Source organism: Homo sapiens, chromosome 11 (assembly GCF_000001405.40).
Source record: "Homo sapiens chromosome 11, GRCh38.p14 Primary Assembly".
NCBI lineage: Eukaryota > Metazoa > Chordata > Mammalia > Primates > Hominidae > Homo > Homo sapiens.
Window position 1 is genome coordinate 89,544,014 of NC_000011.10, and position 25,975 is coordinate 89,569,988.

The 25,975-nt window shown below is 37.3% G+C and overlaps 1 protein-coding gene across 1 annotated transcript in view; it reads right to left on the minus strand.

Moving 5' to 3' along the window:
- NOX4 (NADPH oxidase 4) overlaps positions 1 to 25,975 on the minus strand; it is a 265,205-nt gene that overhangs the window by 219,661 nt on the left and 19,569 nt on the right. The window contains exon 2 of the mRNA NM_001143837.2: positions 2,624 to 2,682. The gene's annotated coding sequence lies outside the window, so the exon portion shown is untranslated. The remainder of the gene's footprint in view (positions 1 to 2,623; positions 2,683 to 25,975) is intronic.

The window sequence follows — 25,975 nt, forward strand, 5'->3', positions numbered from 1 at the left end:
AACTATATAAATATATTATTCTGAAAAAATAGAAGTAATAGAAGCCATTTTTCTAATACTGTAGACTCATAATATTAAACCCTGTGTTGGTAAAATTTCAGGCTCAGGCATGGGCAATGATTTGGTCTGATTTATCTCAATACATTTCAACCAATATTTGTTAAGTTTCTACTCTGCTAAGCCTATTCCATTCTTCTTGAAATCTCTGCTTAAATGTTTTTTTCCTCCAAGAGGCTATTTCTAGCTTTTTAGTTTAGGTTATATTTTCCTAATCTCTGTTCCCATTTTACGTGTTTATTTATTGCCTGCATTCCCTCCTAGACTTTAAGCTCTGTAAAGGTAGGTACCACCACTTTTATTTAGTTTTATCCTGCTCCACAATAGAATTAAATCATCTTCTGAAGTGCAGCATCAAATAAAGGCAGAACTGAACACTGGCGAGTGACTCAGAGATTCAGAGTGCTTTAGCAAAAGAAGGTGAAAGTCATGAAGTAAAAGAGGCATTTAAAAGTGGTATAGGCAGCATTGTATCTTAACATACTGACAATAATAACATAGTCTAGATGGACATCTTTTAAGGATTCCTGCACTGAAGCAATGTATACTGAATACCTAAGAAGTTTTAGAAAAGATGAATCTTAGAGTCTTTCTTCATCTTTACAACACGGTTAGTTACGTGTAACTTTTCCAATTTTGTAGTAAGGTCATGCTGGGCTGAGAGTGGCTCAGTAATTTGCTGTATGTCATACAGCAAAAAAAATTTACAGTCTTATTTTCAATTCACATGTACCTTATTTCAAAGCCACATTGCCCTTAAACTTTTAAAACTCATATTATTTTATAACACCCTAAAATTTGCCCTTAAAGAAAATATATATCCTATGACCCGACCCAATTACTGAATGTACCAAACAACAAACAAACAAACAAAAAACTCGGTAGCAGCCATAACCAAGTCCAGATGCTCAGTCTCCTTTGAGTAACAGGATACTTATTTAGCAAAGTCTCATGAACTTTTATATTTAGATTAGCTAGTAATTTGTGCTCTTGCTGTTGTGGTCTGTAAGTTGAATAGAAGGAAACCAAAATAGCTTTCATTTTTTGTCCCATTTCTGTCTGTACTTACCATGACAGTTACTGCAGAACAAGTGCTGTTCCAAATGATTTTTCAGCAAAAGGTCATCTTATCAGATGCTAGGCATTTAGTTCTGTGTATGTTTTTCTGCTTTGACTACGATTGTGAAAATGAGGCTGTTTCTGTCCAGTAGAAACCTTTGAAAGACTGTGTTATGAGTCTAAACTTGACAATCTACCTGTTAAAACAGTAAAAATGACTTTTCTGGTTTTTAATTTAGAAACCTTTTTCTCGGCCATGACTCCTAAATAAAAATCCTTCGAAATAACATTTCTAACCTCTGCAGATTATAAAAATAATATATGATCATTGTAAAAAACTTACAATACACAAAAAATATAAGTAAATTTTCAGTGGTTTTACAAATACACCTTTAGTAAGTTTTTAATAACCTTCAATGTAAGTATTAATAATGTCACAATAGAGAAATTTACAGATGACAATACATCACCAGAATTACATTTAGATACCTCAAATGTAAATATGGTTGAGGCATTGTAGCCCCTGAACTGAAAATAGTTGGATAAATACTCAAATTTGGATAGCAGAAGTACTGCTTAAAAAAAAAAAAAAAAAGCTCTCACCATCATTATTTTCTCTCTTTCCTGCAGCATTATTCCATTGTCATGATGAAAAAGCAGAGTGTCAGATTTAACCAATGTCATATACCTACTACTGAAAAAGAGACTTGACGACAGTCCTCTGACTTCGGAGTTTGACCCCACATTCCTTAGTCTGTACAGCACCTGTCTGATATGGAAAATGAGTCTGCCTGCATTGTATGACTTATGGCACACCCATCAGCCCCTGTACGCCTATTACTTCATTTTTGGTCTTCCTGTGGTAAATATTAGAGTTAGTCCATTGAGTTGAAAAATATTTAAAAATTTCTCTGCATTTTAAGCATTGTGGCTGTTAAAAGTAACATTAGTTATTAACCTACTGAAAATTTCTTTTCAACTAGTTCTTTATTTCATTTCAACCACTGTTCCCACTGTCACTGCCTTAGTTCAGGCTCTCAAAATTACTCTTCTGCATAATTATAATAGCAATCATTTATTCACTTAATAACTATTTATAACTACTATATTCCAGGCACTGTGTTTGGTGATAGTAATTAAAAAAAGACATGTTTCCAGTTCTTAAATTATATTGATAAGCTTATGAAATTTCAGCCTCTTAGAGGAGGAATCCTAAGTGGGATCTAAGCCTCCATTCTTACCCTGCCTATATCCTTCATGCTGCTGGATCATCTTTCTTTTGTGTTTAAAAGCTGTCTTTGACTTCCCATTTAAGCTTGTTGCAGGATAAGAGCTGGGACTCAGGAGAGAGATAGAGGCTTGGCTCTTACCACTTATTAGCTATGTGATCTGAATCCATTTATATAAACTTTTCAGTTTCTTATGGTTTCTGTCTTAGTCTGTTTTGCATTGCTATAACATAATACCACGCACTGGGTAGTTTATAAAGAAAAAAATAATTTCTCACAGTTCTGGAGGCTGGAAAATCCAATGTCTAGACGCTGGCACCTGGTGAGGGTCTTCTTGCTGCAACATCTCATGGCAGAAGGCAGAAAGGCAACAAAGCATGCACATGAGAGAGGAAAGAGGCGGAAGTAATTTTTTTGTAAGGAACCCACTCCTGTGCCAACTAACCCACTCCCATGATAACAGCATTCACCCAATTACAAGGGCAGAGACCTCATGAACTAATCACCTATTCAAGGTCTCACCTCTCAACATAGTTGCATAATGAATTGTTTCCAACACACAAACTTTGGAGGAAACGTTCAAACCATAGCAGTTTCTAAGCTCATTTGTCATTTTAATAAGTATTTTCTTCTTGTAGACTTGGTGTGGGGATTAAATTAAATAATGTATATAAAGCACATAACAAAGTGTCTGAAAAACAGTAAGTGTGCAATGAATGTTCAACATTATTGTCATTTAATGAACTTGTCCTTCTCTCTGCAGCCTTTCCTCTCATCCTTTCCCCAAATGACCCCTACTACTGACTATACCAAATTACTTGTAGAATTAACATACAGAGTCCCTCATGCCCTATATATTGCCATAGAATCACATGGGGGGGGACAATTGATACCATTAATTTAGTTAATTGAATCAGTTACTTGATAAACAACAGTAAGCAAAGATTAATGAGGTACAGTAAATTTTCGGACATGGCAAGATGCTCTTTGTCAGCATCTAAAACTAGAATATACTCATGGAATAATAATTTCTCCTTCTTGAAGCTTGAGTAGGAAAGAGCATATTTCAGAAGACAATAAACTGGTGAGATATAATTAATTTTAAATATTCTAGGACCTTGCTCTTCAAAGTGTAGTCCCTGAAACTACAATATCTACTTCTCATAGAGGCTTATTAGAAATCACAATTTCATGTCTCACCCTAAATCTACTGAATTTAATCTGCATTTTAACATGATATTCAAGTGATTAATACAACATTAAAGATTGAGAAGAAATACTGTCTGGGACAGTGGTTGCCAAACTTGGCCACACAGTAGAATCAATTGAGCAGCTCATAAACACAACACACACGATTTTCAGGATCCAAACTCAGAGGCTCTACTTTAATTGAGAAGAGTTTAAGGATAGGTATTGTTTAAAGCTTTTCAGGTAATTCTAAAGTATAGCTGTGGTTGAGAATCAGCGCTGGGAACGTATAGCTATATCATGCAGCAATAGAACCCCAGTATTTCCCTAGAGCACTTTATGCATAGACCCAATAATTTATGGACCCTCTCACCACATTCTATCCCCACATGACAGGAGTTATGAACAAAGAGACATGGCCACTCTTCTGCAGAGCAACAGTAACTAAAAAGAAAAAAGAAAAACCTTGGAAATTTAATTAAAATTGATAATTTTAGGAGATACTAGATGAGATGGAGGAAGACTAAATATGTATAAATTTTGTAGGAAAAAAGTGACTGATCTAGAGAAAATGAAAACATACAGTGCAATGGACTGAACGTTTGTGTCTTCTTAAAATTCATATGTGGAAGCCCTACTCCCAGTGCGATGGCATTTAGGAGGAGGTGTCTTTGGAAAGTAATTAGGTAATAAGAGTTGAGCCCTCATTAATGGAATTAGTGTCTTTATAGGAAAAGACCAGAATGCTAACTAGCTCTGCTTCGACCACATGAGGATACATGAGAAGTTGGTCATCTGCAAACTGAATGAGAACCCTCACCAGAAGCCAGCAATGCTGGCAGCCTGATGGGACTGCCACTTCCAGAACTGTGAGAAATAAATTTCTATCATTTACAACACACTAAGTCAATGATACTTTGTTGTAGTAATCTAGACTGACTGAGACATGTGGACATTTGATAGCAAAAAAAGATCTAAAGACTGCAGGGTATGGAGAAGGGATCAGAAACTTGGAGAATGAGGAAGGTGTACTGGGACCCTCAAAATGAGGCCTAGACAGTGAGGCCTTTCCTCTAATGGGGTAAAAAGAAGTGAGATATTTGACTTCCTGTCTATCTATTTGTCTCAATTCTCCTTGCTTTCACCTGCCATGCCACCCAGCAGATACTTGGAGATAATTATTTGAATATCTTAAGAACCTTCACCAAAATCTGGTATTTTATAAAAAGATAGGTGAAATGGTATCTGCACTAGAGAATAGTATTTCTTTCTTTGCACCACAGACTGGAAGCCGCTGCTGTGTTTGCTATCTGGAGACACCAGCAGGAGAAACCATAAAGCTTATCTCCAGACTCACCCCATCCCACTGGAAATTCAACCAAAGTTTCATTCCCTATCAAACAGGGAAAAAAGTCTCATAAAGGTTTCATGTGTTCCATGTAAGCACCATATATAACAAATCTCAAACCTTTTCTTAAATTGGAGAATGTTTCAAAAGCAATAAAACTTTAATTAACTATTTTATCTCCTTCCAGGGAGCAAACCAAAAGGCCCAGAACTGCTTTTCATTATTTATTGTAATTCTTGTGTGGAAATCATCTTGCATATTTCTTTCTTTCACTAGATTTTTTAGATTATTTACTATCATTTAGCATTATAAAAAATGTCACTGTGTGTTATTACTAATAGTTGCAGACTAAATTCACGTTTAATTTTCTATAAGCTAATTATTCTTAAAACCAACCTTTTCTCAGATTTTATCCCCCTTGTTCTCTACTATATTTAACAGCATTAATCAGCCCATCCTTGAAGCTCTCCTCCCTTGATTTTTGTGACACGTCTTGTTTCCTTCAAATGTGTTAGTATCACATAAAACACTTTTTATGTATTATAGAGTGCTGCTTTTTCAAACTTGTTTAAAGACAATCCATAACAATAAGTACATTTTAATTTTTTTATTATACTTTATGTTCTGGGATACATGTGCAGGGCATGCAGGTTTGTTACATAGGTATACATGTGCCATGGTGGTTTGCTGCACCCATCAACCCGTCATCTACAGTAGGTATTTCTCTTAATACTATCCCTCCCCTTTTCCCACATCCCCAAACAGGCCCCAGTGTGTGATGTTCCCCTCCCTGTGTCTATGTGTTCTCACTATTCAACTCCTACTTATGAGTCAGAACATGCAGTGTTTGGTTTTCTGTTCCTGGGTTAGTTTGCAGAGACTGATGGTTTCCAGCTTCATCCATGCCCCTGCAAAAGACATGAACTCATGAACTCATTCTTTTTTACGGCTGCATAGTATTCCATGGTGTATATGTGCCACATTTTCTTTATCCAGTCTATCATTGATGGGCATTTGGATTCATTCCAAGTCTTTGCTGTTGTGAATAGTGCTGCAATAAACATATGTGTGTATGTGTCTTTTTAGTAGAATGATTTATAATCCTTTGGGTATATGCCCGGTAATGGGATTGCTGGGTCAAATGATATTTCTTTTTCTAGATCCTTGAGGAATCGCCACACCATCTTTCACAATGCTGGAACTAATTTACACTCCCACCAACAGTGTAAAAGTGTCCCTATTTCTCCACAGCCTCGCCAGTATCGGTTGTTTCCTGATTTTTTAATGATAGCTAGTCTTTTTTTTTTTTGAGACAGAGTCTTGCTCTGTTGCCCAGGCTGTAGTGCAGTGGCATGATCTTGGCTCACTGCAACCTCTGCCTCCTGGGTTCAAGCAATTCTCCTGCCTCAGCCTCTCGAGTAGCTGGGATTACAGGCACCAGCCACCACGTCCAGCTAATTTATGTATTTTTATTAGAGATGGGTTTTCACCATGTTGGCCAGGTTGGTCTTGAACTCCTGACCTCAGGTGATCTGCCAACCCTGGCTTCCCATAATGCTGGGATTACAGGTGTAAGCCATAATGGTACCTATTCTAACTGGCATGAGATCCTATCTCATTGTGGTTTTGATGTGCACTTCCCTAATTACCAGTGATGATGAGCTTTTTTTCATATGTTTCTTGGCCACATAAATGTCTTCTTTTGAGAAGTGTGTGTTCATATCCTTCACTCACTTTTTGATGGGGTTGTTTTTTTCTTGTAAATTTGTTTAAGTTCTTTGTAGACTGTGTATATTAACCCTTTGTCAGATGGAGAGATTGCAAAATTTTTCTCCCAATCTGTGGGTTGCCTGTTCACTCTGATGATAGTTTCTTTTGCTGTGCAGAAGCTCTTTAGTTTAATTAGATCCCATTTGTCAGTTTTGGCTTTTGTTGCCATTGCTTTTGGTGTTTTAGTCATGAAGACTTTGCCCATGCCCATGGTATTGCCTAGGTTCTCTTCTACAGGTTTTATGGTTTTAGGTCTTATGTTTATGTATTTAATCCATCTTGAGTTAATTTTTGTATAAGGTATAAAGAAGGGCTCCAGTTTCAGTTTTCTGCATATGGCTAGCCAGTTTTCCCAAAGTCATTTATTAAATAGGGAATCCTTTCCCCATTGCTTGTTGGTGTCAGGTTTGTCAAAGATCAGATGGTTGTAGATGTGTGGTGTTATTTCTGAGGCCTCCTTTCTGTTCCATTGGTCTATATATTTGTTTTGGTACCCATACCATTCTGTTTTGGTGACTTGTAGTATAGTTTAGTTATAGCCTTGTAGTATAGTTTGAAGACAGGTAGCGTGATGCCTCCAACTTCATTCTTTTTGCTTAGGATTGTCTTGGCTATATGGGCTCTTTTTTGATTCCATATGAAATTTAAAGTAGTTTTTTTCTCATTCTGTGAAGAAAGTCAATGGTAGCTTGATGGGGATAGCATTGAATCTATAAATTACTTTGGGCAGTATGGCCATTTTCACAGTACTGATTCTTCCTATCCATGAGCATGAAATGTTTTTCCATTTGTTTGTGTCCTCTCTTATTTCCTTGAGCAGTGGTTTGTAGTTCTCCTTGAAGAGGTCCTTCACATCCCTTGTAGGTTGGATTCCTAGGTATTTTGTTCTCTTTGTAGCAATTGTGAATGGGAGTTCACACATGATTTGGCTCTCTATCATTGGTGTATAAGAATGCTTGTGATTTTTGCACATTGATTTGTGTCCTGAGACTTTGCTGAAGTTGCTTATCAGCTTAAGGAGTTTTGGGGCTGAGATGATGGGGTTTTCTAAATATACAATCATGTCATCTGCAAACAGAGACAATTTGATTTCCTCTCTTCCTGTTTGAATACCATTTTTTTTTCTCTTGCCTGATTGCCCTGGCCAGAACTTTCAATACTATGTTGAATAGAAGTGGTAAGAGAGGGCATCCTTGTCTTGTGATGATTTTCAAAAGGAATGCTTCCAGCTTTTGCCCATTCAGTATGATATTGGCTGTGGATTTGTCATAAATAGCTATTATTTTTATTTTAATTTTTAATCCAATGATTCTCTTACACACACACACTCACACACATATATACAATCACTATAAAAAAGTGTTACAAAAATACTTATTTTTACCATGAGTAACGCATTCTACTTTTCTTTTCCAGATCTTTCTTATTAAAATGTTATCTGTTCCTCATTAAACTGTAAAGTTAATTTCTCAAGAAAAAGGCATAACCTGTAGTTTTAAAAACACTAACTTTATAATACATTTCTGAAGGAAGTACTGTTTGTTATATTTTACACAAAAGGAAACTGAAACTGAGAAGAATCATGTAACTGTTGAATTCCAATGTCAGATCTGGGACTTGAATTCAGTTCTCATAGACACCGAAATCCATATTTTTATCTGCTGTACTATCTTGTGTCAATCATTGATCATTTACGTCTCATTTTAATTTAGCCTTTGCAGAGGAACTTATCAAGCTCCTTTAATTCTTTTGGTAGTTTATCTTTCTGTCTCTTTTCATCTCTATTATGGAAACCTTATAATTCATTGCCTCACATTTAGACTATTACAACAGATTCTTCCTTTCTTCAGATCTGCCCACTCCCATTTGTCCCCTAGGTAAGTTACCATCTAGATCAAAGAGAAAGAACACTTCCTCAGTTACATTTATTTATGTTCTTTCAGTCCCAGGCACAGGTCTGAACACAGAATATCAGCTTAATAACTACTTAAAAGTTGTTCTCTTGAGTTCATTGGATTTAGTTCAGTCTTTGGATCAAAGTCTGCAGAATCTAGACATTCCATCAGATTTACTGGGAATAAACTGAAAGAAATTTAGTATCTGATCACACAGTAAGAATTTTGCTGAGAAGTAGTGAGACTGTAGGACAAACTTTATCAAGTAACTTACTGTGAGTCAAAATCAGAGCGGAATTCTCAAGACTCACATGTGTTTATTACACATCTTACTATTATTCCAATACCAGTTAGGCATGAGATTATGCCCCAAAATTATCATCAGTAATAACATTTTCATTCAAGTCAAGCAGTAAGAAATTCTTGAAGCAATGTGCTTGGTTTTAATCCCAGCTGAAAGATACCTCCTGCCACTCACCCCAGAGAAAACCAGGCTAGTTAACCTGCCCCATCTCTATCCCACAGTGTTTTACCCCACACAGGGTCCTAGTCAGAATTCCAACACAGACAAGAGAACCAATATAAAAACAGGGCTGATATGGTTTGGCTGTGTCCCCACCCAAATCTCATCTCCAGCTGTAATCCAAATTGTAATCCCTACATGTCAAGGGCAGGGTAGGGGTTGTCCTGGTGGGAGGTGATTGGATCGTGGGGACAGTTTCCCCATGCCATTCTCATGATGGTGAGTGATTTCTCACAGGATCTGGTTGTTTGATAAGTTTCTGGCAGTTTCCCCTGCCTCACTCTCTCTCCTGCTGTCTTGCTTCCCCTTCTGCTATTATCGTAAGTTTCCTGAGGCCTTCCCAGCCATGTGGAACTGTGAGTCAATTAAACCTCTTTTCTTTATAAATTACCCAGTTTCAGGTATTCTTTATAGCAGTGTGAAAACAAACTAATACAAAGGCTATTTACAGCAGAGGAAATCTGCATTAGCAATATTGGTGATAAAATAATCTCTCAATCTAGAAATCTTTCCTATAAAAGTAGTAGAGAGACAAAAAAAAATTCATTATTGAATAAGAATTAATCTAGAATGTGAGCATATCACAGGCAATCCACAAAGAGATTGCAAAGACAGAAAGAAATTTTATATAGCCAAGCAGATACAGCCCATTACACACATATTATCAAGATAAATAATAACTAGTCTTCGAGTAAGAGGGCTTGACAGCACCATTTTATCTTTACCAGATAACTGGGGTGACCATTTATTTTAGCTAACTGGAATTGGCTTTACTTAGAAGAGAAACAAACATCTTTTTTTTTTTTTTTTTAATGACAAGAGGTAGTTTTGCCACTTGGAGGGAAGTGCCTACCCAAGTTAGACTCCTATCCGCTCACGGAAACTGGCAGGCAGGGTACTAACTCCTTTGATGTTTACATTTCAAAGAGACAGCTTCCAGGTCCTTGAGAAAGATATTCCTGGATGATTAAGCTGAAAAAAGTCTTTCCTAGGTTTCAAAAGGATGTATTTTTTTTTTCAGAAATAGTATCAAGTATGTATAATTACAAGTTTTCTAAAGTAAATGCTCAAAATAAAAGGGGGGGAGGGGAATCTCTTATTTTCATAAAACATGGATCTAGCGTTTTAAAATTGCATTTTATTTATTTTTCTAAATGGCTGTAAAACTGTGGTCCTACCACTATTGAAAAATTCTTTTCACCATGATCTGAAATTCCACATTTATCATAAACTACCTTCACATATGTATTTTTGAGTTTTATATTCCATCCTAGCTCTATCAAATTCATTGATAAACCAATAATATTTTTTAAATTTCAGCTGCATAATATGCTTTAATATTTTAGAATGCTATTCTTTCTCATTATTCTTCTCTTACTGAAGATTCCCAGATATTCTGAGATCTTTTATTTTCACATAATTCATTTAAAAGCAACTTGCCTAGATCCAACAATCCCCAGAATTTTAGATATCTGTATCTAAATAGATATTCAGGTATAGTTATAAATATCTTGGAAGGAGGCATGCAAGAGACTTCTAGATATTACCTAATTCGGTATCTCATCTTTAGGGTGGATTAAATATCTTTCTAAATCTATGACCCTCAGTTGTATTCTTAATGATTCCTAAGAGTACATGGTAGATGTTGACATTTAGTTAGCAATCGGTAGAAAGGCTTTTACAGATTACATTTTTAAAAACCAATCTGATGTATTTTTAGAGGGCTGTAATTAGAAGGCATAAATACACAAATGATCAAAGTTATCAAGTTATCAATTTACTGAAATCAAACTTTATGCTTTATTATTCATCTGGGTCTGCTGTCCATTTAAATTTAGTGAAAAAAAAATCCAAATTAAAATAATTTGATGAGAAATACTACAGAATAACTAGTATACTTTTAATGTAAGCATATAGAGTTTTAAAAATTTATCTTTTTAAAAATTAAAATGGCATGTACATGATTTTAGAAGCTTAATAGTGGTACAAGACTTATAATAGTTTCCTGCCCCAGTTCTCCTTACCCTTAGGCACTTTCCCCAGAGGTAATTAATTCCATTCTTTTTGCTGGTTCTGCTGGAATTCACTTCCAGAGTTGTTAAAAAAAAAATGCTTTTAGTCTGGGAGCAGTGACTCTGGATTGTAAATCCTAACACTTTGGAAGGCCAAGGCAGGAGGATTGCTTGAGCCTAGGAATTTGAGGACCAGCCTAGGCAACATGGCAAGACCTCATCTCCACACACACACACAAAAATTAGACAGGTGTGGTAGTGAACACCTATAGTCTCAGTTATTGGCAGGCCAAAGCAGGAAGATCACTTGAACCCGGGATGTTGAGGCTGCAATGAACCATGATTGCACCACTACACTCTACCTGGACAACAGAGTAAGAATTTGTTTCAAAAAAAAAAGAGTTTTTAGTGTGCTTTCTTATTCTTTATTTATCCTGTTATTAATTTATCCTCTTATTGTTATATAACACTTCATAAACGAAATGATACTTGAATTGAATTTTGAAAGATGAGGCCTTCTCCAGGTCTTCAGTGGGAATTTGGGACGGGAAAGGCAGGCTAAGTGTAAGGAGCAATATGAACAGAGGCACAAACAGAAGTACCATGGACACCATTTGAAACTCCTATAGTAATCTCCAAATGCAACACTTAAATTATTGATCAATCAGGAACCATGTATGTGTAAGCAGAGAAAGGAGAGAGCCGATATGTATTATATGATATTTAATAGCTAGTAAAATCTGCAAATAAATATATGCAGGGTATATACAGGAACTGTTCTGGCACTTCCTCATTGTTGGTTTATTCATTCAAACCTTTAGCTCAACAAAAGAATGTTTAAACAATGACATGGAAACAAAAAGTAAACTAGCATTGTTTGCTAATTTATAGGACTTAACAAACAGTTTGTGTGCTAAAAAAACCTTTGTGAAGATATCTGCTGCATTGAAATACAGACAATTTGGCCAAGAACAGGGTAGACAGCAAGAGCTTACATCTCTAATCAACTAATTGTTGCCCTGGCTTACTTGGGATCTAACATCTACCCTACAACATAGTAAACCATAATAAATATTTATTAATTGAATAAATAAATGATCATATGGGCAAATAAGTATAATCACAGCCCTAAACCAAAGGAAACATAATAGAGGTTCTGGGAAGAAGGCATAAGGAGAAAAAAAATTCTAGCACAAGGCGAGTGGATTACCTGAACTCAGGAGTTCGAGACCAGCCTGGCCAACATGGCGAAACCTCATCTCTACTAAAAATACAAAAATTAGCTGGGCATGGTGGCATGTGCCTGTAATCTCAGCTACTCAGGAGGCTTAGGCAGGAGAATGGCTTGAACCTGGGAGGCAGAGATTGCAGTGAACTGAGATCACACCACTTCATTCCAGCCTGGGTGAAAGGGTGAAACTCCATCAAGGGGAAGGGAGGGGAAGGGAGGGGAGGGGAGGGGGAAACCTACATCTTCAGGAGTAATAGCAACACTACAAATCCATGGGGAGTTATTTGAAGAAACATACCCTAATTTGGGAAGAGGCAAGTCAAAGAAAGTAATTAAAACTATTCACTAAAAGAAATGGGAGGGTTACCTCAATTCAGGGGAACGGTAATTAGTAGGATTAACCATAGAGATATATAGTGAGCTCTCTATTCATATATGTTAAGCCTTGAATACAGGTCAACTTCTATCTCTGAGGGATGAATAATGAATGCTGTAAACTCTAACAAGTTTGGATCTGAAATATGAAATCTCTTGGCACCATTATGAGATGGGGTGGAGGAGCCAATCCTGCAACAATGGTCTGGGCAGAAGTTCATGCAAATATGCATGATGTTTTAATGAAAATGTGATGTTGCCAATGCTAACTTCACACGTGCAGTCATATTACCATGACAACCAGTAGCTCTCTAGAGTTCAAATATGGAGTAATGACTTGCTTATGCCTGAACATTTAACTTAACAGTTTTTCATGCTGCTAACAATGATTAAATTGAAAAAGAACTCTGAGCCAAATCTGACAGATATGGGAAAAATTCATTTCTGAAAGCAATATCTAAAATAATTGCTGGCTACATTTGCTTCCTAATTCTGAGAAAAAAAATCCCAAACTGTGTGGCAATACAAAAGCCTTGCTTATGAGTTTTTGGGTGGTGAATGCTAGAATTATTAAGTGAAGATGATTTTGCAGCATGAACTTGAACAATAATTACAACCAGGGCAGTATTTGAAACACTTCACTGACAACTACTCCGGAAAAGGAGAAGTTTTTCCTCCGGGAAAGGAGGGACCCAAGCCAGGTCAATTAATTACATCTCTAAAGAAATCTTTTCTCCTGGAAGACTTCTTGTTTTTAATTCATGCCACATCACTGGCACACTGCTGAGTAGTAAATCACACCCTTTAAACACTTATCATGTTCCTGGTCCCTTGACTGCCTTCTGTTGACTTTTTAAACATAAACAACTGCCAGGTACTGACATAATTTAAGGAACAAGAGAAAAACAGGTTTTACTTGTTTGTTTTTTTACAGCTGAGACTGAGCAGGTTTATTGGCACATGGAGAAAGGTAGCAGTATTTCATGCTCCCTAAACTTAGTCTCCATTAGCACTTACTCAGGATACCTCATAAAACAAAATATACTTTACGATTAATTACATGGGATGGGGGTTACATGGGGTAGAGCAATGAGAACAGGGTAAATGACTCTCTGTTATCTATTCAGGGTCTGAAACAAAGATACTTGTAGAAAATTAAAGTTGAACTAACTTGTCTCCAAGGGCAAGGAAATCCAACTTGATAGTGGTGTCAGGGAGACAGGAAAGAGAAGAAAAGGAGGAGAGATTTTTGGGAAGGAAACTGACATTTGTGACAGGGTTAAGTTTTCAAATACAGCTCAGTGTTTTAATATAAGATCTTGTTTAATCTTTACCTCAGCCCCAGGACCCAGAATGATTGTACAGATCTCTTGCTTCCTGCATTTGGAGGCCAGTAGTCTTGTACCCTGAGTATGAGCACCAGAAACAAGAAACTATCTTTTTACTTATGCAAAAGAGTCATTTTCTTGCCAAGCCATTAGCTAGAGGGACTGCATTAGCTCAGAGTCGATGCCCTTTACTAATTCATGCAAAACTTCCTTAAACTTTAGTGGTGGTCTCCTTTCTCCAACATGTTTGTACTGTTACCCCAATTTAAGACATAAAGAAACCAACTGCAGAAAGATTAATTACATTACTGAAAGTCATTTAATAAACTAAGAGTTAATTTTAATATCTCAGTATGTCTACTTTCAAGACTCTTACTCTTACCATTTGGCCATGCTTGATAAGTCTGGGCCTTCGGTAACCAAGTCTCTGGATGGAATGAACTGCTTCCTAACTACAGCTGATGCTGCCCATATATAGGTGTTTAATTAAAGCCTGGAAGCCAAGACTAGTGCCCACCTCTTCTGTCCCTAGATTATTTCCCAGGCTTAGTAGTACCCCAGAATACTTCAAATATGTTGACCTATCCTCCCATTGAAGGCATTTATTATTTTCATTTCTACATTGAGCCCATCTTTATCTCATGTAGCTCCTTACAGTGAGGTCACCCAAGGATTCGTTGGCACAAATGGTAAGTCGGTAACTATGCCATAGGCCAGTTTGCATTCCTTTCTTCAATTGTCAGATTCTTTTATCAGAATAAATTTACTACATTCTAGGAACCTCTCACTGGGTATACGCCATACACATCTCTCTTTACTTCAGTTGTCCCATGCATCTGATTATTAATGTTTACCATCACAAATCATAAGTGCAAAGAGGCAGGAAAAATAGATACCAAGGAATTAACACTCTCAATTTTCACCTAAATTTAATTACACATCTTAGCAGGTAACTGGAAACTCAGTGCCTTTTGGCCATGCTTTAACTTTGCCTGATCACCAAACTTAACATACTATCTCATAATTTTGATTTTCCATTTGATCCTCAAATGCATCATAAATATTTAACAAATATTTATTAAGTGCCTGTCATATGCTAAATGCTGTATTTCTGTGCTAGAAATAAGCAGAAATAAAAAAATCATGGGTCCTGCTCTCAAGAAACTTAATTTAGTGAGAAAAACAGATATTCAATAAATGCATGTATAACTGCACAATTACAAAAAAGAGTTTCAAGAAGAATAGAAAAAGGAATTCAGAAAGAGAATAATGAGAGGAAGGAGTCTATTTTAAATGGATGCTATGGAAAGCTGGTCTGAGGAGATGAAGATGAGGCCTAAAGGAAGTACGAGAATTAACCAGTATATCTGGTAAATATTTAACAGCTGCTTTTCCAAGGATAAAAAAAGACCTGATTTGTACTGGTAGCTGATTTCTGTATTATAAATATATCCACTCTGTGGCCAATTTCAAACTACCAAGGTGAGGTCACTGAATATGTATTTAGGGAGACATATGAATACAAGTATTTTATATTTCTGCTATGTAAATATAATAGATGCAAATAATCTAAAGAGTATAGATAGATAATAATCAAATGTAGCAAAATAGCTAGAAATGGATGAGTTTTTAGAATGTATTACCATTGCTTTAAATGTAATTAATTATGTTTATATATTTAATTTTTAATAATTGCTGTGTTTGGCAACTGGCTTCTGATAATTTAACAATTGACCCTCAGGAGCTGGTGTGAGATGGCTCCAGTACAACACCAGAACTTGAGCAAAGAGTGGGCAGAAAAGTAATGCAGACAGAGGAGACAATACATGAGAAGTCTCTGAATTGAGAAAAAGCTTGATACGTTAAACCCATTATTAGCAATCCCATCATGCTGATGCTCTCCATCTGCTATGGGTTGCATTGTGTCCTGCAGAAATATATGTTGAAGTCCTATACCCTGGCATCTATGAATGCGACCTCATTTGGAAGTTGGGTCTTTGCAGGTATAATCGAGTTAAGATGAGGTCAGTTAGGGATTGCTCAAATCCAGTATGACTGTTGTCTTCATAAGAAAAGAGAAATTTGGACACAGACACACACACACACGTACATAAAAGATGAACACATGAAGATAAAAACACACAGGGAGAATGCCATGTGATGACAGAGACAGAGATTGGAGCGATGCATTTGTAACCCAAGGAATGCCAAGGATCAATGACCTCCGTCAGAAGCTAGGAAGAGACAAGGAAGATTTTCTCCTACAGGTTTCACAGGGAGCATGGCCCTCCCAATATCTTGATTTTGGGCCTTTGATTCTGGCACCTTTGATTTTTTAGCCCCCAGAACTGTGAAACAAACAAAAATTCTGTAGTTTTACGTGAGTTTTATGTCTGTAGTTTTGTGGTATTTTGTGACAGCAATTGTGATGGTTAATTTTAGATGTCAACTTGACTGGATTAAGGAGTACTTAGAGAACTGATAAAGCATTATTTCCATGAGGTATGTCTGTGAGGGTGTTTCTGAGGAGATTGGTTCATGAATTGTGAGTTGGTTGACTGAATGGGGAAAGATCTGCCCTCAATGTGTGTGGTTAACATCCAAATGGCTGTGGACCCAGGTAGAACAAAAAGCGAGAAGAAAGGCAAATTTGCTCTCCTTCTTTCTCTCTCTCTTCTGGAGCTGGGACACCCTTCTTCTCCTGCCTTTGGACATCAGAACTCTAAGCTCTCTGGCCTTTGGACTCCAGAACTTACACCAGCAACTCCCTGAGTTCTCAGGCCTTTAGCCTCAGATTGAGTTACACCATTTGTTTACCTTGTTCTGAGGTTTTCAGAGTTGGACTAAGCGATGCTATCAGCATTTCAGTGTTTTCAGGTTGCAGAAAGCCTGTCATGGGAGCTAATTCCCCTAAAAAATTCCCATCTCATCTCGTCTCTCTCTCTCTCTCTCTCTCTCTCTCTCTCTCTATATATATATATATATATATATACATACACACACACATACACATATATCATACATATATATATATATATATATATATATATATATATATCCTATCAGTTCTATCTCCCTGAAGAACCCTAACACAGCAGCTCTAGGAAACGAATACACCACCTCTCTTTCAAAGTTTGTTCTAGCCTATCCATAGTATCTCTTATGGTAATTCCATAAAGGATTACAATACATTTAATCAGTAGGCAAATATATAATGATAAGCCTGTAATTCTTCAATATGTAAGCAGAAGGTGGAAGAAAGCTAAGGGATATAAGGCAGATGAAGTGCAACCCAGCAGGTAAATTGCTAGGAAACATAGATTCCATCCAAATATAACAAATCACCATTTGGTCAGAAAATTATTCTTCTATCCATTAGCTAGCTGACCTTGAACAATCTATACAACTGTCTGCAACATCTATCTTACAGCGCTGCTGTGATGACTGGAGCTAATTTATATGTCAAAGCATAGGTTTGTAAAAATAGTACTAAAATGACAGTGATAATAATTGCTAATGTTAAGTTATATTCAGCAAGTTGTTGTATTTCTCTAGACTTTAATTTCCTCATGTGGAATTCTTTTCACCACATTTTATAGGAATATTATTTACTAATTCATTCAACAAATATCACCTAGGCATCTACACTGTGCCAGACACTGTTGTTGGTGCCGGGGACATACAACAGTGAACAAAACAAAATTCTTGCTCTTGAGGAGCTTCCTTTCTCGTGGGGGAGGCTGGCCGCAAACAAGCAAATCCATAGAATGTCAGATGGCAATAAATACTGTGGAAAAAAGGGGAGCAGAATTGGAAAAACAGAATTGGAGGTGGTGGGAAATTGAGCAGCGGCCTTTGCTATGTTATATACTGCAGTCAGAAGCAAGGTGATTTCAGAGATCATACATGAATATGCCCTGTAGATGTTTGAGGAAAGTACATCCCAGGGAAAGGGAACAGCAAGTACAAATGCTGTGAGCTGAGGCAATGCCTGTTTTGTTAGATAAACAGCAATAGGGTAAGTGTTACTGAGATCAGAGTTACTTCCAAAAACCTCCAGGCATTAGGACACTGTAATCCAAGGCATTAATTAGTAAGCACCTATATTCACTTGTTGCATGCTAAATATTCCTAACATTAGATTAATTATAAATATTCTTCTTTATAATATCTAATGAAAATCATATCAATGCAGATGTAAGTTCACATGAGATATAGAAATTAAAAATGAGAAAACAGAATTGAGACTTGGGGGAATTAGAAAGGAGTCAATGAAAAAAAGGAGCCTTAAGAAAAACTATCGTCTGCCTAAATTCCCTGGAAGCTTTTTGTTAGATAATAAAACTATGGTTTATCCTCTCCTCTCCCTTCCCTTCTCTGCCCCTTCTTCTCCTCCCCGCCCCTTTTATCCAATCTATCCCACCCACTGATTCCGATATAAGTAACCTGCCCGTATCTCTCTCTCCTGTTTAAAAATCAGCTGATTTATTCCTACTGCCTTCAGCCTAAAGTACTTAACATGGCACATAAGATAAATCAAAACTTGGTCTTTATTTCTGATACTGGTTTTTCATCCTCATAAGGCTCAAGAGTTAACCATATGAGACTATGTATTTGTCATCTGTCAAGACCTAGCTCAAAGATTCTTTTCTGAAACTGTTCCTGACATTCCTTGAAGAATGGGCTCCTCCTTCTTTCATAATTTTATGGTGTTAATGCTATTATGAGACTTTTCACCTATGCTTTGTGTATTTATGATTCTGTCTAACAATTAGATCATATGATACCATTTGGCTCTGTGTCTCCAACCAAATCTTATCTTGAATTGTAATCCCCACATGTTGAGGGAGGGACCTGGTGGGAGGTAATTGGATTATTGAGGGGATTTTCCCCCATGCTGTTCTCCTGATAGTGAGTGAGTTCTCATGAGATCTGATGGTTTGAAAGTGGGCACTTCCCCTCCGCTCACGCTCTTTCTGTCTCTCCTGCTGCCTTGTGAAAAAGGTGCCTGCTTCCCCTTCACCTTCTGCCATGATTGTAAGTTTCCTGAGGCCTCTCCAGCCATGCAGAACTGTAAGTCAATTTAACCTCTTTTGTTTATAAATTACCAAGTCTCAGGTAGTATCTTTGTAGCAGTGTGAGAATGGACTAATACATAATAATATTCAGAAAAGAGGCCCTATGTTTCATTTTCAACACTTCATTGTCAATTTGCATGGTACCTGAAACAATGGTTTAGCTTTTCATATCTTTGTTAACAACTCATAAATACTTTTTGTTAAATTACCAGAAATTTCCACTGTTTAGATAGATGGGAGAGGTAGTTTGCAGGTGGTAGGGAGATGATTTTATGCCACTCTTACTTCTGGCTTGGTTTCTACATTCCGAACCTGGGAAGTGGCTCCTTGGGAGATTGATATACTCCAACCATATCACTTATCTCTGCCTCTGAATCTCAACTCCAACCGTATTTGATCTCTCTGCTATATATTTTTGCCTTTCCAAATGCTTTCTGACAAGAACTTGCAAAAAAATACAGAAAAACATGTTTTTTTAATTCCCTGAACTCATTAAATGAAACCAAATCTTCCAGAGTCTTTAAATTTTTTATGACAAATTTAGTAACTTTAATAGACAGTTGATCCCTGCTTTCACCTCCAAATTTTGAACATGTAATTTTAATTTTCCTCTGATTATTGTAGAAAATGAATTTATATGAGTGAAATTACAATTTTGAGTGTTTGCTATATTATTTGTCTTTCTTAACATTACTTTTTTTAGTAATAAGCTTTTATTTCTAATATTAAACTTTATGATAAATAAATTTTACAGTATTTCGGAAATACAGAAAATGACACTTGCAAATTTGTAAGTTCAACTTTTCAAAACAAAAGCCTTCAATTTTCAGCTTTTATTCCTTTACATATAATTTAAATTTCTTCTAATGACATTCTGATTTAGAGGGGTTTACTGAACAGTAGCCTTGCCTTTGACATGGCAAGGCCGTTTAGATAAATAAATGGCTTTGTGGTTGGGGAGGAACACATTTGAAATGTACCGTATTATAAAAGATCTACTAATAATAGAGAATATGATAGAATGCACCGCATGTTTCCTTAAATTGCAAATCCTGAACTGTATTAGTCCATTCTCACAATGCTATAAAGAACTACCTGAAACTGGGTAATTTATAAAGAAAAGGGGTTTGATTGGCTTGCAGTTCTGCAGGCTATACAAGGAGCGTGGCTGGGGAGGCCTCAGGAAAATTACAATCACGATGGAGGGGTGAAGTGAAAGCAGGCATGTCTTACATGACAGGAGCAGGAGGAAGAGAGCAAAGGGGAAGGTGCTATACATTTTTAAACACTCAGATACTGTCTTCCCATCTCATGCACTATCACAAGAACAGCAAGGGGGAAAATTCGGCCCCAGGGTTCAATCAGCTCCTAGCAGGCCCCTCCTTCAACATGGGAGATTATAATTAAACATGAGATTTGGGCAGGGACACAAATCCAAACCACATCATGAACCTTGAATCTAAGAGTAGTGACAAAGTGGGTAACTGGGTAGCCTTTTCATAAAAATAAGGTGGAGCTTGTTTGTTTGCAACACAGAACTTGACACACTTGCCAAAAGATCAACATTACATTTCTTCAGGGAAATGGGAATTTTGGTTTTCTAATTTTGGAGGAGTTTTTTGTTGTTGTTGTTGTTGTTTGTTTTTTGTTTTTTTTTTAATAGTTTCCCATCCCAATGTGCATAGTGGGCTCATTCTTCCCTTTGTAGCAGTTTTGCAGATTCTTCAACCAGCATTAATAGCCACTCATCTAGAACCAGATCTTACAATTGCAGCTTAATATTTCTGTTCTGGAACTTGGAAGATCCAGTCATGGAAATATCCTGTAACTTGGCTCAGTTGTGTGAAGTGAAAATTTTTCCCTCAGTTTTCTTGGCCATATTCTGAAATAAAAGCAGGATAACTTAAAAGTCTGCTTACTGATATCTAAAAATACCTGCTGGGATTTTGACTGGGATTTAGCCAGTGAACATATAGCTCAATTTGAGGAGAATTTACATCTTAAAATATTGAGTCTTCCTATTCATGAACATATATTCTCTTCTCTTTATTTAACTCTTCCTTAACTATGAACATGTATAAAAGATTTCTCAATAATGATTTACAGTTTCCTCTGTTAAGATTCTTGCAGGACTATTTTTTGATATATGATATATCAATAATATTATAATATTATGTTTTAAATTTTACTTTCAATTGTTTACCACTGGTTTATACATAAAGTTTTGATGTATTACCTTGCACCAACATCCTTGCTAAACTTCTTAATAATCCAGATAACTCATCTGTACATTCATTGGATATTATAGATACATAATCATGTATTTTGCAGCTAATGAGCATTTTATTGCTTTCTTTCAACCTTATAACTTTTTTCCTCTTGCCTTCCTGTTTTGACAAGAATGTACAGTATAATTTGAAAGGGAAATAATATTAGGAACTTTTTTTCTAATTTCTAATCTCATTGGATAATATTTTAACAATTCATAATAACATTTGCTACAAGTTTTTGCAAAATCCTTCTATTAGATAAGAAAAATTTTTGCACCAGCATGGCACATGTATACATATGTAACTAACCTGCACAATGTGCGCATGTACCCTAAAACTTAAAGTATAATAAAAAAAAAAAGAAAAATTTCATCTATTCCTACTTTGCTAAATACTGTACCATAAATGATTATTGCATTTTATCACTAGCTTTTGATTTTTATTATCAATAGCCTTTTCTGTACATGATTTTTTCTGCTTTAATATAAAAGTAAATTACATTAATTGATTTTTCATTATTAAGCCAACCTTCCACTTCTGGAATAGATCTTGCATGGTTGTGATAATACTGTACTTTTTATGTATTGCTGGATTTGTGCACTAATGATTTAAGACAGCTGCATCTCTGTATATAAATGAAATTAACTTATTACTAATTCTTTTTTTCTTTTTTTTTTTTTTTTTGAGACAGAGTTGCGCTCTGTCGCCTAGGCTGGAGTGTAGTGGTGCAATCTCGGCTCACTGCAAGCTCTGCCTACCGGGTTCACGCCATTCTCCTGCCTCAGCCTCCTGAGTAGCTGGGACTACAGGCGCCAGCCACAACGCCCAGCTAATTTTCTGTATTTTTTAGTAGAGACTGGGTTTCACCATGTTGGCCAGGATGGTCTTGATCTCCTGACCTTGTGCTCCCCGCCCTTTGCCTCCCAAAGTGCTGGGATTACAGGTGTGAGCCACCATGCCCAGCCTATTAATACTTTCTTTCCACATAATATACTTGTTTGCTTTTAGCATTATGTTTATGCTGCTCTTATAAAATAAATTGAAAATATTTCTAAGTTTTTCTATTCTCTAGGAGGTTTTATATAATAGTTCTCTTGAATATTTGGTAGGATTTATTAGTTTAGGATTTCTTTCTTGAATATTTGGTAGGACTTATCAGTGAAGTCATCTAAATTTGGTGCTTTCTCTGTAGAAGACATATACATAAAAATACACATGCAAAAAAGCGAGAGGAGCCAAGATGGCTAGCTAGAAACAGCAAGGAAAAGCATCTCCCATGGTGAAAACAGACCATCATGAAGTCCAGTATACTCTAAGGAGATCTTTAGAAGGAAATCATTAAGAGTGGAAAAAGGGAGCATGCAGACACTGGGCTGAAGGGGGAGGAAGCTGGGAACCCTGCATGAGACTGCCAAGCACCAGGACTTGTTCCCAGCCCCCAGTGACTCCTTGGAAGGAGTGAGTTAAATAGGTGAGAAGTGGCCCATGGACTTACCATGGACCTCTAGAGTATTAACCGTAGGAATCCCCGTGACCTCCATATACATCCGAGCTGGCATGGAGAGCTGCTTGGAGAAGTGTCAGCCTTTGGGGCTGGGAACTGGGGGGTGTTGGCACAGCATGACTACAGTAGAGCATAGCCAGGGATGCACATCCTCCAAGGCTTACCACACTCCCCTAGGTGGCTTTGGCCTTTGTTGACTATCAGACCTGAACAGAGCAGAGCTATCTGGTCCATGGGACGGGGCCAGTCTGATCTGAACACACCCCTGTTTGCTGGTCCTTCTCTGGGGCACCTCCCCGGCCACACCCATTTGCACTGCAGCCTGAGATCCCCAACAGAGGCATTTTGCAGCAGCTGCCACCATAGCTACTTGGTGTGGACTCTACCTAACCATCGGAGAGCTTTAGCAGACAGGCCCGGATGACATGCACCTGCCAGCAGCCTCCTACCACTGCTTTGCCCCCAAGCACCTGCCTATGGCCTCTTCCTACTACTATGCTATGGTGTGCACTCTGTGAACCTCTCACAACCCCAGTCTATTCGTTCATTCTCACGCTACTATAAGGACATACCTGAGACTGGGTAAATTATAAAGAAAAGAGGTTTAGTTGACTCACAGTTTTGAATGGCTGGGGAGGCCTCAGGAAACTTACAATCATGATGGAAGAAGAAGCAAACATATCTTTCTTCACATGGTGGCAGAAGAGAGAATGAGTGCAGAGGGAAGGGGGAAGCCTCTTATAAAACCATCAGATCTCATGAGAACTCACTCACTATCACAAGAACAGCATGGGGGAACCACTCCCATGATCTAATCACCTCCCATGAGGTCCCTCCCCCAACCAGTGGGGATTATAATTCAATATGAGATTTGGGTGGGGACACAGCCAAAACATATCACCCAGTACCACAGATGCATGCATGTGGAACTCACCACCATAACCCAGCCCCTGCTGGTGCCTATGTGCATGGAGACCCAGCCACTCCACCATCACTAGCATGAGCATGTGTACACAGACTCCATCACACTGCCATCACACTGTTGTCAGTGTGTGTGCATGTGTGGACCCTGATGCCACTATCCTGATGAAGTGCTTTTTCCAGCACCCCTTATCAGAGTACTGGTGCTTGTGGACTGGGAACATCTCTAGCACCTCCAGCACAGCAGCTGCTTAACCTCACGGGGACAGAGAACGAAGTTATGGGCCTGGACACCACACCTTATGGATAGAGCATGCAGCTCAAGAGTGCTCAGCTGAGCCTGGCCCCCCGTGAAATCATCCAGAAACAAAGCCACTCAGCTGAACCCAACTTACAGCAAATCAACCGGAAAACTAGCAGAAGAAAAGAAATACTAAAATCCGAGCTGAACTGAATGAAATTGAGATTAAAATAAATACAATAGATTAACGAAACAAAAAGTGGGTTCTTTGAAAGAATAAGATTGATAGACCACAAGTTGGAGTAATAAAGAAAACTGAAGATCGAAATAAACACAATTTACCAACAACATCCAAGCTGAGAGGCAAATTAAAACACAATCCCATCCACAATAGCCACACACATACAAAAATACCTAGGAAGACAGCTAACCAGAGAAGGGAAAGATCTCTACAATAAGAATTATGAAACACTATTGAAAGTAATCAGAGATTAAGCAAACATGGAAAAATAATCCATGGTCATCTGTAGGAAGAATCAATATTGTTCAAATGGTCATACTGCCCAAAGCAATTTATAGATACAATGCTGTTCCTATCAAACTATCAAAAACATTTTCCACAGAATTAGAAAAATATATTCCAAAATTTATAGGGAACCAAAATATAGTCTGAATAGCCAAAACAATCCTAAGCAAAAAGAACTAAGCCAGAGGCATCACACTCTACTACAAGGCAACAGTAACCAAAGCAGCATGGTACAAGTATAAAAACAGACACATAGACCAATGCAACAGGATAGAGAACCCAGGAATAAGGTCACACACCTACAACAAACAACTTTTGACAAAGTTAACAAAAACAAGCAATGGTAAATGGACTCCCTATTTAATGAATGGTGCTGGGTAACTGGCTAGCCATATGCAGAGGATTGAAGCTGGACCCCTTCTCTTTACTATAAACAAAAGTCAGGATGGGTTAAAGACTTAATGAGTTAAATGAAAAATGTAAAATGTAACTCATCTTGAGGGCTAAAGACTTAAATGTAAAACTTTTAACTATAAAACCCTAGAATAACACCTAGGAATAAACATTCTGGACATAGGTCCTGTCAAAGATTTCATGACAAAGATTCCAAAATTGAAAAAAAAAAAACAAAAATGGACAAGTAGGATCTAATTAAAGAATTTATACACAGCAGAAGAAGCTATCCACAGAGTAAATTGAAAGAAACCTAAATTGAAAGAAAAAATATTTGCAAACTATGCATCTGACAGAGGTCTAATATCCAGAATCTATAAGGAACTTAAACAAACAAACAAAACCAAAATAACCCTATTAAAAAAATGGGCAAAGGATATGAATAGGCGTTTCTCAAGAAAAGATATACACTCAGCCAACAAGCATATGAAAAAATGCTCAACATCACTAATCATTAGAGAAAGGCAAATCAGAACCACAATGAGATACTATCTCATACCAGTTAGAATAGCTTATTAAAAAGTTGATGCTGATGAGATTAAGGAGAAAATGGAATGCTTATACACTGCTAGCAGGAATGTAAATTAGTTCAGCCCCTGAGGAAAGCAGTTTGGAGATTTCTCAAAGAACTTAAAATGGAATTATCGGTCATCCCAGGAATTCCATTTCTGGGTATATATCTAAAAGATACAAATGTTCTGGCCGGGTGCAGTGGCTCACACCTGTAATCCCAGTACTTTGGGAGGCTGAGGCGGGCGGATCACAAGGTCAGGAGATCGAGACCATCTTGGCTAACATGGTGAAACCCGCCTCTATTAAAAATACAAAAAATCAGCCAGGCGTGGTGGCGGGCGCCTGTAATTCCAGCTACTCGGGAGGCTGAGGCAGGAGAATGGCACGAACCTGGGAGGCGGAGCTTGCAGCGAGCCAAGATCATGCCACTGCACTCCAGCATGGGCGACAGAGC